The 16,917-nt window shown below is 36.2% G+C and overlaps 1 protein-coding gene and 1 long non-coding RNA gene across 2 annotated transcripts in view, besides 6 other annotated features; one reads left to right on the forward strand and one right to left on the reverse strand.

The window, feature by feature from the left end:
- Nucleotides 1-16,917, forward strand: part of CFTR (CF transmembrane conductance regulator) — a 188,641-nt gene that overhangs the window by 138,552 nt on the left and 33,172 nt on the right. The window contains exon 22 of the mRNA NM_000492.4: nt 8,946-9,194. Within this exon, the coding sequence (NP_000483.3) occupies nt 8,946-9,194 (249 nt within the window). The remainder of the gene's footprint in view (nt 1-8,945; nt 9,195-16,917) is intronic.
- The window catches only part of CFTR-AS2 (CFTR antisense RNA 2), a 42,625-nt gene that overhangs the window by 13,786 nt on the left and 11,922 nt on the right, over nt 1-16,917 (reverse strand). The window lies entirely within an intron of this gene.
- Nucleotides 1,122-1,611: a conserved region, noted in NCBI's record as "conserved_region; intron 18 3600 + 6.8 kb region conserved in human, cow and pig". NCBI's record gives the evidence for it as "COORDINATES:sequence alignment evidence [ECO:0000200][PMID:12782133]".
- Nucleotides 1,122-3,666: a DNaseI hypersensitive site, noted in NCBI's record as "DHS18. or 3600 + 7 kb or 3600 + 6.8 kb DHS observed in multiple cell types; the nucleotide coordinates are approximate for this feature". NCBI's record gives the evidence for it as "EXISTENCE:in vivo cleavage assay evidence [ECO:0001075][PMID:10708521, PMID:11856314]".
- Nucleotides 5,069-6,269: a DNaseI hypersensitive site, noted in NCBI's record as "DHS18b or 3600 + 10 kb DHS observed in primary human tracheal epithelial cells; the nucleotide coordinates are approximate for this feature". NCBI's record gives the evidence for it as "EXISTENCE:in vivo cleavage assay evidence [ECO:0001075][PMID:19897727, PMID:21895967]".
- Nucleotides 11,651-12,850: an enhancer, noted in NCBI's record as "MED14-independent group 3 enhancer chr7:117270281-117271480 (GRCh37/hg19 assembly coordinates)". NCBI's record gives its function as "activates an origin of replication core promoter dependent on BRD2, BRD4, P300/CBP and CDK7 cofactors, and independent of MED14, by STARR-seq in HCT116 cells {active_cell/tissue: HCT116}" and the evidence as "EXISTENCE:reporter gene assay evidence [ECO:0000049][PMID:35650434]".
- Nucleotides 11,742-12,431: an enhancer, noted in NCBI's record as "H3K27ac hESC enhancer chr7:117270372-117271061 (GRCh37/hg19 assembly coordinates)". NCBI's record gives its function as "activates a minimal SCP1, AML or CMV promoter by ChIP-STARR-seq in primed H9 embryonic stem cells {active_cell/tissue: H9 hESC(primed)}" and the evidence as "EXISTENCE:reporter gene assay evidence [ECO:0000049][PMID:30033119]".
- Nucleotides 12,019-12,218: an enhancer, noted in NCBI's record as "active region_26547". NCBI's record gives its function as "activates an Ori minimal core promoter by ATAC-STARR-seq in GM12878 lymphoblastoid cells {active_cell/tissue: GM12878}" and the evidence as "EXISTENCE:reporter gene assay evidence [ECO:0000049][PMID:35858748]".

Below are 16,917 nucleotides of genomic sequence, written 5' to 3' on the forward strand. Positions count from 1 at the left end.
AATGATGTATCCAACTATCATCTTGACACCATCATATGTTCATAAAACATAATTATAGAATATCTTTCAGTAGGCTTGACATTTTAAGGCATGAGTTTCCGTTCAGTATCTCCTTAAAATATACCCAGGGTCTCAGGAGACTATTCAAACAGGACAAAGCTTCTATTCTACTTACTAATGTGTCTGGCCCTATTTGGCAGGTTGGATAAAAAGTCATCTGAACATTGTCACTTTATGAATAATATAGTTTAATAGTTTGTGAATCACCCCTGCAATTTAAAAAATAGTAAAATTATCAGAATCTAATTTAATAATTCCTATTGGAACACCCCATGTTAGGGGATTTCCAGTTATTTCAATTGATATCTCAATGTTTTAAAGATTGTTTATTTCTATTACTAATTCACTCTTTATTTTAACATAAATTGTGGCTATCTATCTCTATTCATTTCAATTATATTTCTCATACCATTCTATAGATGGGGTGAAAAGAAAAGTGTTAATTTTTTAAAACTCCATACCTCAAATACTATATGAATTTATAGTTGTTATTGCTAAAGCAATTATCTTACATCTTTTCCTCCAAAACAAAGTTATGTGCTGGTTTATTTTCTTTGTACTCATAAGATGCCTTCCATTTTTAGTAACATAAGTCTTGTCTTTCTCCTATTCTTAGCTACTTAAGCATTATGTAGCTTAAATAAGCACTAAAGATTCCTATCTGTATGAAAAAATAAAGATTAAATAAATAAGATCTAGAAAGGGTGACAAGGTGATGCTTCAAAATGAACCATACCAAGCCATCTAGCGATTGATAAATTACTCACACTCATAATCACATTGTTGGAAAGAAGCCATTGACAATTCAGTTTGTTTCACAACTGTCTATCACATAGTGAGCACAACTAAAAGACTACTTTTTGTCTTTTACTGCTTGTTTTGTTGATCAAGTGACTGATTGTACAATGACCAACAAGAAGTCTGATGTGTAGAGAAAAGGGGAACCTGGCTTTTCTGCCTTACTCCTGATGCCTAATTCTGAGCATGTGAATATTATTCTGTTTCTTTAATTCTCCAAGTGAAGCAGCAGATAAACCATCCTTGTTTCCATTAGCTGTCTACCCTGTTCAACTGTGTGTTTCTAATAACATAAGAATAAGAAAGCCACCAGGGTGAGCAGGGAAGGCAATGAGTCTGCAAGGCTTGTGGATAGATTTCTGTTAGTGAGGCTCTAGAAAGTTCTTCCAAGATTGATGCAATCTGAGAAGAGTTTTCTGTCAATACAAACTCCCTGGGTTTCTCCTTTGTCCTTTTACTGCCTGTGTTTGTTTTGGGTTCCAGTAAAGATCAAGTGACTGATTGTACCATGACCAACAAGAAGCCTGATGTGTGGAGAAAAGGGGAACCTGGCTTTTCTGCATTACTCCTAATGCCTAATTTTCTTGTACTGAAAGTAGTTTTTGCTGTAAGAATCTGAGGGGAGGAGTCATTTCTTCAATTTTTTTTTTTGGTCTCCTTTTAATGGTTTCTTGATCATGTCTATCCTTATTTTTCTGTTTTCACAAATTTTTGTGGTATATTTTCCTCTCATGACCTCTGTCTCAAGACTTCTTTCCATCCATCTCTTCTCATTTCATCCTGTAGAGTGTCTGTGGTAAGAGCCCTGCATTCTACTCTGGCCTTGCCATGTGTGGCCTTGGGCAAGTCCTAGCCTCCTTGAGGGTCTTATTTTTCTCATTTGTAAAATGAAACAGTTTGATGAGAAGTTTTCTAAGGTTCCTTCAAGCTTTGACAATCTCTCTCTTCTGGATCTTTTTCCCATGAAAAATTTCAACTCTTGATTAGCATGTAGGCAGGGATTATTCCACATCCTTATAGGAATCACATTTCTGCTACTGTCCCTGAATGCTAGAGTCCATTGATTAAGTTATTCACTGCTGCAATTGTCAGAGCTGATCAAAGAACTCTGAACCAGTGTGTTACTAGAACTAACAAAGAAAATGCCATTATGATGTTCTAGAGTCTTGAATTAGTAGAAGAGGTTTAATAAGAACCCTAAGGGATTGCTAGAATGTTAAAAACAAACAAACAAAAAAAAAGGTTGAAAAGTTTAGAAAATTCACTGGTCTTTGTGCCCATCATTTTACTTCCAGGGTTTAGATAATCTCATTTTTGCAATGAAGGAATGGATTAGATCACAAGTTCTCATCCTAGTAGCACATGCAGAATCTTTATAAAAACACAGAGTAGCCAGGTGCGGTGGCTCATGCCTGTAATCCCAGCACTTTGAGAGCCTGGGGCAGGTGGATCACTTGAGAATAGGAGTTGAAGACCAAGCTGGTCAACATGGCAAAACCCTGTATCTACTAAAAATTCAAAAATTAGCCAGGCATGATGGCACATGCCTCCCAGCTACTGGGGAGGCTGAGGCAGGAGAATCGATTGAACCCGGGAGATGGAGGTTGCAGGGAGCTGAGATAGCTCCACTGCACTCCAGCCTGGTGACAGGGTGAGACTCCATCACAAACAAAACAAAACAAAAGAAAGCAAAAACACAGATTACTCAGGGTCCACTAAGACCAGTGAAGTCAGTTCTCTTGGTAGGGGGCAGGGTGACTGAGCATGATGTTTGTAATTTTAAAAGTGCTCCAGGTGATTCTAGCGTGTATCAAGCAAGACTTGTGAACCACTGAACTACATGCTAAGACTCATTTTAGCTCTGATTTTCTGTGAGTCATAGCAGAGGGCTCAGCAAACTTTTTCTATAAATGCTAAGATAGTAAATATTTTCAGCTTTGTGGGCTGTATCGTCTTTATGACAACTCAACTCAGTCTTTGTAGAGAAAAGCAGCTGTACATAATATGTAAACTAATGGGAGTAGCTAGATGTGTCCTGTGGGCCATAGTTTTGCTGACTCCTGGTCTATGTCATAGAATTTCCTTTTGAATTGATGGACCACCAGCAAATGATTTTTGTCCTGTATCAATCAATGATACATACATAAATCTCTACAAGACATGTAAAGGATGAGGCTTAATGACAGAGTACTTTGGGGAAGACATAATATTGCAAAATTAAGATGCTTAGAGAAAAATCATATTAAAATAGTGAAAACTGTGAGAAGGTATTTTGATTTGTTGTTTTGGATTCCTCTTTTTGCAAATTCTTTTGAAATATTTTCAGTGGAAGCTACATAGATCCAATTGTATTCACCAAGCTAGATTGTAATTAAGCTCCAGAGTAAGTAATAGATTTGATGAGTGATGTCCAACCTTTTACATGGAAGAGTAAGTTTGAGTCTTCCTTTGCCCATTGACACACTTAGTACCATGTTTACCAAAGTTCTTAGTTATTGAAATGGGCACCAGCATATTTTGAAACGTTGGTGTTAACTTGGGATATGCCTTTTGTCATGTTGCAAATAGATTTTGTTTCTGTTTTGTGAAGATCACCATCTCTGTCACTTCTGATAGAAAAAGTGACACTGACTTCTCAAGTGATTTGACACAGGTTAAAATATGTAAACCATTTCTGTAGAGAGCAAGCTGTAATAATATACTAAAGGGCTAGGTTTATAGTATAATATAAATAACTCATTTATGCTGTTAATAATTTATAGCAACATGGCATTTGACTGACTTTTTATGTGCTCTAGTCATGTAAGTAATAGATGTGGAAACATAGACCAGAGTTTCAAGAACATGTTTTGGGCAGAGTCTGTTTTCTTGCTATTATCTCTTAAGTTTATGTTCATGGCCTAAAGATTATGCTAATGGATCTGCCTTGGTCTTGGGTGTCAGGTCTGTGTTAGCGAGTATTGAAAAGCATAGTTTTTGCCTACTGGGAAGGATTTATGATTTAAAAGCCCTAAATCTCCCCTTTTATGTACTTCATACTTAGAAAATTTTTCCTGTAAACTGTGTGACTTTTTTACATTGTGCCAGTTTTCTAGATGACTCTCGTCATATTTATTTCTTGCAATCCTTCTATAACTATCAGTTATGAAGTCTCTTTATAGTGTTGCCAGCCAGGTCTCAGGTGTGTGAAATGTATTTTCTATTATGGATTTTGGGGTATGATGGCACATAGTTTGGGTGTTAATGCCTAATCTTGATGTACTGGCTTCTGAACAACCAAAAGGATGAAAGGAAATAGAACAAATATTTTTGTGAGGGAGAGGAGTCTGGCTTCTTGACTTACTCTAGAAAAAGCCTGTAAGCCTCCTCTTCCCTCCTTGTCACACAAAGTGACAAAGAAAATCAAGAATTGTTTTCTTCTTGGCTTAAATGCATCCCTTATAAAGTAAGGCTGAGATCAGGCTGTGAAGCTATCTTTTTGTCAAGACTGTCATAATTCCAAAACACTTTGTTCTTCTAATGCTTAGGTTAGTAACTTTAAACATTTTTATAAAGATAGTGAGGTCCAGTTTTAAGGATTGACCCCTTCTCAAGGGGCTCAGAAGAGGTTTTGGAGAATAATAAAATTAAATAATGAAACCAATAATTTAAACCAGATCATGATCCTTAAGAAAAAATCCCATCAAATTTGGGCTAAACTCTAATATACAGAGGTCTGCACAACTTATGTCAAGTATTCTTCCCCACAAATGAAGAATGGGGTTCATTGTGTCATTGGTTGGGTCTCATTTTGGCTTCATCTTCTATTTCTCAAAGTCTAAGAAAAGTGCTCCTACGGAAGTGGGTGTTGGCTATCATGAGACTTTGCTGCTGGCAGGCCAGCTTGCTGCTCTAGACAGAGATATCCCTCGATCCTCCTTGGACAACTGTTTTCTGTGCACAGGAAGCAGCAGGCTGGGGTTAAGGAGTTTGCCAATCCAGTCATTCTGATAATTGCTGAATATGAATTTCTATCCAGCACAATCTAGGTAGCTACAATGGCACAGTAGTTTTTATGTATCAGGTGAAAATGTTTAATAGGCACTCTAAATGAGAGAAAAGGTTAAGTGAGGTTAAAAGCTCAATGAAAACAAATAGATGAGACTAAAAATAGTTCAATAGGTTGTAACTTCCATCTCATCCAAACAGCAATGAATATTTTGAGGCTGAGGCGCTGAGGGGTAAAATTGCAGCCTGGACTACTTGCTAATGTAGACCTACAGCACTGTCATTCTTACTGCACAGACACTGCTTTCTGCATAGGAGGTAGAATAATGAATTCATTTATTATTAACAAAGATTTATTAAGTGACTGCATGGTGCTAACCACTAGATGGGGAGGGATGTTTTGAACTGTCCATTGTTTGACTATAACAAGGAACGCTTTGAACGAGGTTACTATCATAGGCAGAATTTGTTTAACATGAAGCCTATGAGACATAAGCCACAGGTCCTCTCACGTGCAGGAACTCCTTTGAAGGCCCTATACTTAATTTTATATGCATAGTTTGGATTTGGATTCTTTTTTTTTTAAGAGTTCCCCAAATTACTTAAGCTTCAGGCTCCACAAAACCTGGATCTACCCCTGGTAGCAGCTATGAATCTTTGACTATGAAATTAAGTGTACAAGAAATATGACTTTACTTTTTCTGTGATTGAGTTTATTTTCTATTTGAGCACGCATTCCACTGAGTGAAAGAAATAATATCATTGAATTCAGAGATTTTGCTGGGTTCTAAGTGGAGTTTACAGAATGCCATGATATTAGGAATTAAGGAGTGTGTTGCCCTACATCATCTTTTGTCCGTGCTCACTGTCTCTGAGGCACTGATGTTCCTATGTGACCTAGAGGGGCATGGTCCAGGTAGATGGAGTCTGTCCTTGTTCTCACTGTGAGCTCTCGCTTGCTGACCCTTCTTCAGTTTCTTCCATGCCCCTGAGGGGTAAAAAGATTCAAATCTGAAGCTATATCAAGCCATCTGTGCATAGACATTCCAAGCAACCATGTTCACTCTACTGCTCCCATGTCATGCAAGGCACAGGAAGCTTCACTATGGCATGAGTATTTCCTGGGCTTTGCCTTGGAATTGAGGCACGGGCCTCCTTTGTTCTAAAATTCCCCAAATCTACTTGAGGATAGAACCAGGATTTGGTTGCAAGGCAGAACTTTTCTTAGAGGACCTGGTATCTAAACCCTCTTGTTACCCCCATTTATGGACCCCATTTATGGGGTGAGGAGAGTGACTGCTTCTAATCCATCATAATTTTTGTCTATGGCTACTGTTTTTGCATAGACACTATGTTTTGAGTCCTTAGGCTTTGGCTTTTGGCGCTTAATGGCCAATATTCACATGGCTCAAAATTTTCAAATGATCCATATCTGACTTGAGTTTCAAAAGTCAGTTTTTGAAACTTAAATGATCAGAATTGATTTGTTCTGCTCTGGTTCTGATGTGGCCTCTCCTTCCAGAGGTACTGGAGGTAGAATATCCAAGGTGGAAAGCCCACGACTACAAGGAATTGGTTAGTAATTCATAATGTTAGCTGTCCACATCTATTCAGTAATGGCATTTCAGTGGCTGCACAACTGACCATGGTGAAAGTGTCTGCACAAGCCACTTTTTCTTCCTGTCAGAAAATGTTCTCACCCACTGAATTGAATGACTGTCTGCTCATATGCTGTGAATGAGTGCCCAGTCTTAAGATTAAATCACACGTTCTTGGCTATGCATATTTGGGCATGCTGTGGGGAGTTATAATAGGCTGTCTTAGAGTCACATTAAGCAGCTAGACAGACAATGAGTTGGAAAGTTACATTTTCTAAATTTGATTGGTACATTCCATTTGTCACATTTGACATTAGAAGTTCTGGATTCACCCTCTATGGTGAGCTTCACTAATGGAGAATGTAATTTGCAATGCTCAAACACAAGTCCTAAACAGAAAACATTGTATGTTACATTCCAGTGCTACCAAAATAGTGGTTTTGAAAGTCCTTATTTTCTAATACTACTATGTGTAATTTTGAGTCATTTAGATAGCAACAGTTAAATGTTTTATAGATTGTTTGGAAGTATTAAAATGTGAAGGATTTTTGTTATATAGTGTCTTTCCTATCTTGCTTAATAAAATATAAGTTTAGAATTGTGTATAGAATTAACATGCAAAAATATCAAGTCTCAACTTTATACAGTTAATCTACATTTGTGTATACCCTTCAATTATTTCAAGAGAGGGATACTATTCTTATGCAGGATAAATACAATAAGATATTTTAAATGAATTTTAACTACATCTCTGGCAGTTTCATCTCAATAGTAGTTGTAATTTTATCTCCCAGACCTTATTATAGACTAGCAGCTCTCTATGAAAATTAGTGACAGTGTGAGTGTATTTTAATTCAAAGTTAATCAAGAATGACTGAGTCAAGAGTTAGCTACCCCTGAAAGTAACTCATAATTCAGAATTTAAAATATTACATGTGGAACAATCATGACTATATGCCTTTTACTTTCTCTATCATTATTTAGGTTGTGGGCTTTGGGTCCTTTTCACATCCGTTAACAGTGGGCTTGACTTCAAAGGATTATTTTCTTGAATCTTGAATAATTGCTGAAGACAATTTGAAGATATTTTCAAGATGAAGGAAACTGAAGCACAGAATCACTAGAGTGAAAAAAGAACTTCACAAACAGTGCAGGCTTGATCAATGGCATGGGAAAACAGGCAATACAGTTAGAATTGCTAAGATGGAATTTTAACGTTCAATTAAGGATCTATCTCTAAACTCCTCTGCTTTATCCACCAATCATTCCATATTAAAGATGAAGAATTGTTCCCATTTCACCTTTTGATAAGGAAAAATAGAAATAACAGAAGCAAATACACTTTTGCCCACATTTTTTTCCAAAAAGAATAATTTTTGAAGTCTAAACGTTTGGTGTAAATAAGATGATGTGTTAATATTGTAAAGGAAAGCTAGTTAAGTTTTTGACTGAATAAAGCCAGCATCAATAATTACTAGTAAGACTAAAAATAAGAGCAGTAAAATTGTGTCTAATCAGCTACTAATATCTGGGAAGGATTGAGCCACAGGATCAAAGATGGTATCTTTTAAAAATAGAAGTTGAGTGAATTCGGTCTTCAAATTCTTTCTTTTTATTCATTTATATTTATTTACTCATTAGTATATTCATTCCTTTATTCATGTATTGTTCAAATATATATTGGGTACTTATTATATGCCAAGTTGTTTTTAAAATCACATTCCAAATTCCCGTAAGTCATAATTATTCAGAGATGTATGTTTTTTTTAAAAAAAATTGAACACCTTTAAAAATTATCAAGTCCTTTTATTTCTGTATGCATTAAAGATAAACTTTACTAAATGTTACATGAATAGATTTATAAAGCAGATAAATATTTAATTTCAAATATAACCCTTATATGCAATTATATTTTCCTTAGCACTAAAAATGAATATTTAAGTAATTTATATTAAAAGTGTAATTATTTAACTGCAGATGTATGCCAATGACTTAAATTGTTTAAAGATTATAGCAAAGTTGTTTAAAATTGTCTAATCATGAAGAGTTCACTTAACCACCTGGTTGACACATAAAATTATAGTTAGTTACTAAGGTAGTTCGAGAGAAAGAGAAGAATCTTCAGTAGTGGTTTTGAGGTGTGGTACATTTTATTATAATATACCGGTTATACAGCATTGTGCAGTGCTGCTCATAGTAGAAATAAATTTTCTCTTTGATGTCATCTATTCCCTTGTGTGGCTTACATAACTGAGAATTAGGTGATCACAAAAATAAACAGGCCTATACAGAGCCCATTTATATAAGTCCTGGTTATTTCTCTTCAGTTAAACTTTTAATTATATCCAATTATTTCCTGTTAGTTCATTGAAAAGCCCGACAAATAACCAAGTGACAAATAGCAAGTGTTGCATTTTACAAGTTATTTTTTAGGAAGCATCAAACTAATTGTGAAATTGTCTGCCATTCTTAAAAACAAAAATGTTGTTATTTTTATTTCAGATGCGATCTGTGAGCCGAGTCTTTAAGTTCATTGACATGCCAACAGAAGGTAAACCTACCAAGTCAACCAAACCATACAAGAATGGCCAACTCTCGAAAGTTATGATTATTGAGAATTCACACGTGAAGAAAGATGACATCTGGCCCTCAGGGGGCCAAATGACTGTCAAAGATCTCACAGCAAAATACACAGAAGGTGGAAATGCCATATTAGAGAACATTTCCTTCTCAATAAGTCCTGGCCAGAGGGTGAGATTTGAACACTGCTTGCTTTGTTAGACTGTGTTCAGTAAGTGAATCCCAGTAGCCTGAAGCAATGTGTTAGCAGAATCTATTTGTAACATTATTATTGTACAGTAGAATCAATATTAAACACACATGTTTTATTATATGGAGTCATTATTTTTAATATGAAATTTAATTTGCAGAGTCCTGAACCTATATAATGGGTTTATTTTAAATGTGATTGTACTTGCAGAATATCTAATTAATTGCTAGGTTAATAACTAAAGAAGCCATTAAATAAATCAAAATTGTAACATGTTTTAGATTTCCCATCTTGAAAATGTCTTCCAAAAATATCTTATTGCTGACTCCATCTATTGTCTTAAATTTTATCTAAGTTCCATTCTGCCAAACAAGTGATACTTTTTTTCTAGCTTTTTTCAGTTTGTTTGTTTTGTTTTTCTTTGAAGTTTTAATTCAGACATAGATTATTTTTTCCCAGTTATTTACTATATTTATTAAGCATGAGTAATTGACATTATTTTGAAATCCTTCTTATGGATCCCAGCACTGGGCTGAACACATAGAAGGAACTTAATATATACTGATTTCTGGAATTGATTCTTGGAGACAGGGATGGTCATTATCCATATACTTCAGGCTCCATAAACATATTTCTTAATTGCCTTCAAATCCCTATTCTGGACTGCTCTATAAATCTAGACAAGAGTATTATATATTTTGATTGATATTTTTTAGATAAAATAAAAGGGAGCTGAAAACTGAATTGCAAACTGAATTTTAAAACTTTATCTCTCTGTGGTTAATTGCAAACACAGATACAAAAATATAGAGAGAGATACAGTTAGTAAAGATGTTAGGTCACCGTTACTAACACTGACATAGAAACAGTTTTGCTCATGAGTTTCAGAATATATGAGTTTGATTTTGCCCATGGATTTTAGAATATTTGATAAACATTTAATGCATTGTACAAATTCTGTGAAAACATATATATAGGATGTGCGAAAAGTCCCTGTGTATCATGTGAAATGGCTTAAAACAGAACACCATAGGTATTCATATCAGTGAATACCATAGGTAGCTGAAAGTGTTTTTTCCTGGGGTCGCCAAGATGAATGCCAAAAGTGATATCATTATTATAAACAATAGCCAGAATAGGTTGGTATAAACCTGGTAGAAAGCCTTGATAAATTGACTTTCTCTCCTCCTGACATCCTGCCACCCCTTTGCTTTGCTGATGCTCATTTGTCCACTAAATTAAACTCAAGCAAGCCCTAGTAAAGTAATAGAATTTGTGGAGTCCTCATTAGTATAGGAAGTTTCCCTGATGTGAGATTAGTAATTAGAGATGTAGCAAAATGAGAAAGAAGTAATATGCTTAGATATTTCATTTTCTCTGAACCTGTATATACAAAATAGGCCATGCGTGTTCAGTAACTATTCACTGCAAGGCACTCTCTAGGTACTTTGGGGGAATTGGAAATTACTCACATAAGGCTATGGATTGTGCCATTTGTCAAAAGACAAAATGACAACAAATTTAGTTTAAAGACCTCAGTCAGCTTTATTTTCTATTCTAGATTTGGACAGTCCTTCATTTCACAAATTGGAGTAAGTGTTCCAATAAGTTGAGCAAAGGAGCTTGGCTTTATAGACCCAAAAAAAGGGCCAAAGGAAGCAGAAACAAAGAACAATAAGAGAATTGGTCATTTCAAAGTTACTTTTCTTGAAAGGTGGGGACAAGGAGACAGAATAATAGAAAAGTCACTGATTGGTTAACATTGGATTAAGAATTAAAACAGAGGAAACTTTAAGATTGAAGTTTGAAACTGACTTGTTTGGGAAATCAGGCTGTCTTCTTTCTTGATTTCTTAGAAGGCCGGATAACAACTGAGTTTTGCTTTGGTGAACATGGGTGACTCCATTTTTACTTTTAGTCTGGTCTGTTGAGGCCTCGTGAGAGAGCTTAATCTAAAACAATGACTTCCTATAATTTTTGTTTGACACATCCAAAGAGGGACTCTAATATTTATTGAGAGCTTATCATATCTTAAGTACTGTTTAAACACTTTTATTTGCTATTACATTTGATCTTATTATAACTCTAAAGGCAGAAATGATTGCTTTTATTTTCCACAATGGAGGAAACTGAGGTTCAATTAAGTGAGTAAGGAAGCAGGGATCTTAAACCCAGATACCATTGCTCCTCTTTAAAGGTGGAAGAACAGAAAACATGGGGCAGGGGAAGAGAGAAAGTTTCTGTCCCAGGACATGATAATCTAAAAGGGAAAACGTAAGATCCACTGAAACCTGAGGCAGATTTATTGTGGCAATAACAAAGCTTAAGTTTCACAGACCTTCATTTGCCTGAGCCAACTTTGAAGGCCATGTATCTAATTTTGTTTTTATAATTCTATAATCTTTATTCTTGAAAAGAGCCCTCCCTCCAAATTTACAAGCTTTGGGCCCCCAAAATCCTTGAAATGCCCTTGAATAAGAGATATCCAGGTAAATGCTATGGGAATTCAGAGGAGGAAGCAGTTAGTATCAGTTGGCGGAGAGTTAGGCTATTAAGAGAAGGTTTTATATAGGAAGTGGCATTTAGAATGAAGCTTTGAGAACTGAGCTGTGTATTTGAACAAGTAAAGGTGGTGTTGCAGAATTTTGCTCCTTAGTTCTATTAAAAACCCGGGTTCTTGTCACATGATCCGGAAAATTTAGGCACACAGATACATTGAAGCATGAGTAGAGCAGGATTTTATTGGGCAAAAAGGAAAAAAAGAAAACTCAGCAAATCGAGATGGAGTCTTGCTCACAGATTGAATCCCAGGCCACCACAAAGGAACTGAAGAGATCGGGCTTCTCCCCTGCATAAGGTGCAAATTCCCCATGGCTCCACCCACTTCCCCTTAGTGTGCATGTGGGGCTCCAGTCCACGGTGGGCATGCCCAGACAAGCCTTGGGCAGGTTCCCTCATCTGTGCAAAAGCATCTGATGTAAACACTTGAGGGGTGGTTCGGAGATTCTCTGGGACCCTTTTATTTTCTTATCTGCCTAGGCATTTGGCTGTCTCAGTGGGTGGGAAAGGGTGCTCCAGGCAAAGGGCATAACATGAGGCAAAGGGCATGCACAGAAAACAGTGACTGGTTCAGTCAGGTTGGGGGATGCCAAAGGAAGTAATGGGAGACAAGATTGGAGCAAGATAGATAAGAGATTGTGGATTTTTTTTCTTTTTTATCTATATAAATACAGAGACAGGGTCTCACTATGTTGCCCAGGCTGGTCTCAAACTCCTGGCCTCAAGTGATCCTCCCACCTCATCCTCCCAAAGTGCTAGGATTACAGGCATGAGGCACTGTGCCCAACCTCCAATTTTGGATTTTGAGAGCTAAAGCAATATAGTCGAAAACTCAGATAATCCAGGTAGATTTTGCTATTAGGTGCTATTTGGTTCCTGGTACAGAGCTAAAACCCTTGGAATTTCCTAAGTGATAAGAGCTACAGGAGCATCTTTTGTTATATGTTTCCCCCCCTAGTTCCTGAAATAGCTCTAGAGAAATACAGGTGAATAACATCCTTTGTTATTCATATCAAGCCCCTATCAACCATACCCCAGTTTCTATTTATGAAGTGGCTTTTGGGAAGTCCCTAAAGACAGGAGTGGGGAAAGGCTGGTTGTCAGGGGGATGGGTTGAAACTTTCATCTTCCCCCCTTGACCTCCAGGGAGGGATGAGTGGCTGAAAATTGTGTAAAATCAACAATGGCCAGTGATTTAATCAACCATGCCTATGTAATGAAGCCACCCGATAAGCCTTAACTGGAACTTTTTGGAGAGCCTCCAGGCTGGTGAAGACATTGAGGTGCTCAGAAGGTGGTATTCCAGAGAGAGCACAGAATCTCTGTTCCCCTTCCCACATTCATTTTGCTATGCATCTCTCCCATCTGGCTGTTCTTGAGAGGTATCCGTTTATAATAAACTGGTAACCTAGTAAGTAAACTGTTACCCTGAGTTCTGTGAGCCATTCTAGCAAATTATCAAACCTAAAGAGTTCATGGATACGTGCAATTTACAGATGCACAGTCAGAAGCACAGATGACAATCTGGGCTTGCCATTGGCATTTGAAGTGTGTTGGGAGGCAGTCTTACAGGAATGAGCCCTTATCCTGTGGGGTCTATGCTAATAACAGACAGTTGTCAGCATTGCTTGGTGTCGAAAACCCACATTGTTGGTGTCAGAAGTATTGTCAGTAGGATAGGGAAAACAGTTTGTTTTCTTTTTTTAGTGGTCTTTGGTCATCTTTAAGAGCAGGGCTTCTCAAAGTGTGGTCCTTGAACCAGCATCACCTGTACCACGTAAGAACTTATGAGAAATGTTCATTCTTGGGCCCCAACAAAGAATTAAAAATTCTGAGGGTGTGAACGGGGTCTGAGTTTCAGCACAACTTCCCGACCATGCTGATGCATTCTTGCCCAAGCATGAAAGCCCTCCCTTGTTTAAGAAGGCCATTAGGGCCGGGTGTGGTGGCTCATGCTTGTAATCGAGCACTTTGAGAGGACATAGTGGGAGGATCACTTGAGCCCTGGAGTTCTAGACAAGCCTGGGCAACATGGCAAAATGCTGTCTCCACAAAAATCACAAAAATTAGGTGGGCGTGTGTTGTGTGCCTATAGGCCCAGCTACTTAGGAGACTGAGGCAGGAGGATCGCTTGAGCCCAGGAGATTAAGGCTGCAGCGAGCTGTGATGGCACCACTACAGCCTGGATGACAGAGTGAGACACTGTCTCAAAAAAAAAAAAGAAAAAGAAAAAGAAAAAAGAAAGGAAAATGAAAAAGAACGCCATTAGGTATAAAGGAGCAATGGTAAAAGACCAGTTGCAAAAGGTTAGGGAATGGGTGGTTACTGAAATAAGAAGCTATGTAGAACACTAGTGTTGGTGGCAGGAAGTAGAAAGCAAGAGCACTGCTCTGTGGGGGATGGTCATAGCAAATGCAATATGGAGGCATTTGCCTCTGCACTGAGGAGAAAACTATCTTTTCCAAGATAGGAGGAAAGGAGATAAGTGGAATTAAAGAGAACCTTTGAGCACAGAGTTGGGAAACTGAAGGTATTTGTGTTGTGCTCCCTCAATCTTTTAATTCAACTATAAGCTAAACCCATGAAACTTGAGTAGTTTCAGTTATCTGACTTTTTTCTTCTCTTTTGATACAGTGTTGGCTATTCTGGGTCTTTTGCCTCTCTTTATGTACTTAAGAATCAGTTTGCCAATGTATGCAAAATAACTGGCTGGGATTTTGATTGTGATTGGCTTGAATCTATAGATGGAGTTGGGAAGGACTGACATCTTGACAATGTTGAAGCTTCCTATTCATCATTATGAAATATTTCTCCATTTGTTTGATTCTTTGATTTCTTTTATCAGAATTTAGTTTTCCTCATATAGTCTTTTAAAATATTTTGTTATATTTTGTTCAAGTATTTTGTTTTTGAGGAATGCCAATGTAAATGGTATTGTGATTTTAATTTCAAATTCCAATTTTTCATTGCTGTTATATAGGAAAATGATTTTTTTTGCATGTTAGCCTTATATCTTTCAACTTTGCTATAATCAATTATTGATAGTTTCAAGGATTTTTTGGTCAATTATTTTGAATCTTCTACATAGATTATCATCATCTGAACTTAGTTTTATTTCTTCCTTCCCAATCTGTATACCTTTATCTCCTTTTCTTATTTCATTAGCTAGGACTTCCAGTATGATGTTGAAAGTAGTGGTGAGAGGGGATATCTTGGTCTTGTTCTTGATCTTAGTGGGAAAACTTCAAGTTTCTTATCATTAAGTATGATTTTAGCTGGAGGGTTTTTGTAGAAGTTTTTTTTTTTTAAGTTGAAGAAGTCTCCTTCTATTTTTAGTTTGCTGATTTTTAAAAAGAATCAGGAATGGGTGTTAAATTTTGTGAAATGCTTTTCTGCAACTATTGATTTGAGCACTTTATTTTTCTTCTTTGGCTTGTTGATGTGAAGTACATTAATTGATTTTTGAATGCTGAATCAACCTTTTGTACCTGAGATTAATCCCGTTTGGTTGTGGTATATAATTATTTGTATACATGTTGAGTTCGATTTGCTAATACTTTTTGAGAATTTTTGCATTGGTGTTCATGAAAAAATATTGGTGTGTAGTTTTTTGTGACATCTTTATCTGCTTATGGTTTTAAGGTAATGCTGGCCTCATAGCATGAGTTAGGGAGTATTTCCTCTACTTTTACATTTGAGAAGAGATTGCAGAGAATTAGTAAAATTCCTACTTTAAATATTTTGTGGAATTCACCAGTGAACCCATCTGGACCTGGTGCTTTCTGTTTTGGAAGGTCATTAATTATTTTAAAATAGATATAGGCCTATTCAGATTACCTATTTTTTCTCATGCGAGTTTTAGCAGATTGTCTTTCAAGGAATTGGTCTATTTCATTTAGGTTATCAAATATGTCAACGTAGAGTTATTCATAGTATTCTTTTATTATCCTTTTAATGTGCAAGGGATCTGTAGTGATGTCCCCTTTTTTGTTTTATTGATATTAGCAATTTGTGTCACATCTTTTATTTTGCTTTGTTAGCCAGGCTAGAGATATCTCTATTTTTGATGTTTTTGATGAACCAACTTTTTGTTTTATTGATTTTCTCTGTTGATTTCGTGATTTCAATTTCATGATTTTTAAATTATGCTTACATTTGATTTAATTTGATCTTCTTTTGCTAGTTATCCAAGGTGGAAGCTTATATTGTTAAGATCCTTTTGCATTCTTATGCATTCAATGATGTAAATTTCCCTCTAAGCACTGCTTTTTCTGCATCTCACAAATATTCATGAGTTGTATTTTCATGTTCATTTAGTTTGAAATATTTTTAAATTTCTCTTGATATTTCTCTTTTGACCCATGTGTTACTTAGAAGTGTGTTGTTTAATCACCATTTTTAAAAATTTTCTAGCTATCTTTCTGTTATTGATTTCTAGTTTAATTCCATTGTGGTCTGAGAGCATATATTGTATAATTTTAATTTTTATAAAATTTGTTAAGGTGTGATTTATGGCCCAGAATGTGGTCTATCTTGGTGAATGTTCCATGTAAGCTTTGGAAGACTGTGTATTCTGCTATATTTGAATGAGGTAGTCTATAGACATCAATTATGTCCAGTTGATTGATGGTGCTGTTGAATTCAACTATGTCCTTACTGATTTTCCACCTGCTAGATCTGTCCATTCTTTGCAGAGGGACACTGAAGTCTCCAACTCTAGTAGTGAATATTCTATTTCTTGTTACAGTTTTATCAACTTCTGCTTCATGTCTTTTGATGCTTTGTTGCTAGAAACATACACATGAAGAATTGGTATGTCTTTTGGAGCATGACCCATTTATCCTCATATAATGCCCCTCATTATTTCCTCGCCCTGATGTCTGTTCTCTCTGAAAGAAATATAGCCTCTCCAGGTCTCTTTTGGTTGGTGTTAAAATGACTTAACTTTCTTTATCCCCCTTACTTTTAGTTTATATGTGGTTTTAAATTTAAAGTGGGTTTCTTGTAGACAGCAAATAGTTCAGAGTTGTTTTTCGATCCACTTTGACAATCTTTGTCTTTTAATTGGTATATTTGGACTATTGATATTTTAAGTGATTATTGATATAGTTAGATAAACATCTACTATATTTATTACTGTTTTCT

The sequence above is a fragment of the Homo sapiens genome, chromosome 7 (assembly GCF_000001405.40).
Source record: "Homo sapiens chromosome 7, GRCh38.p14 Primary Assembly".
NCBI classification, from domain to species: Eukaryota; Metazoa; Chordata; class Mammalia; order Primates; family Hominidae; genus Homo; species Homo sapiens.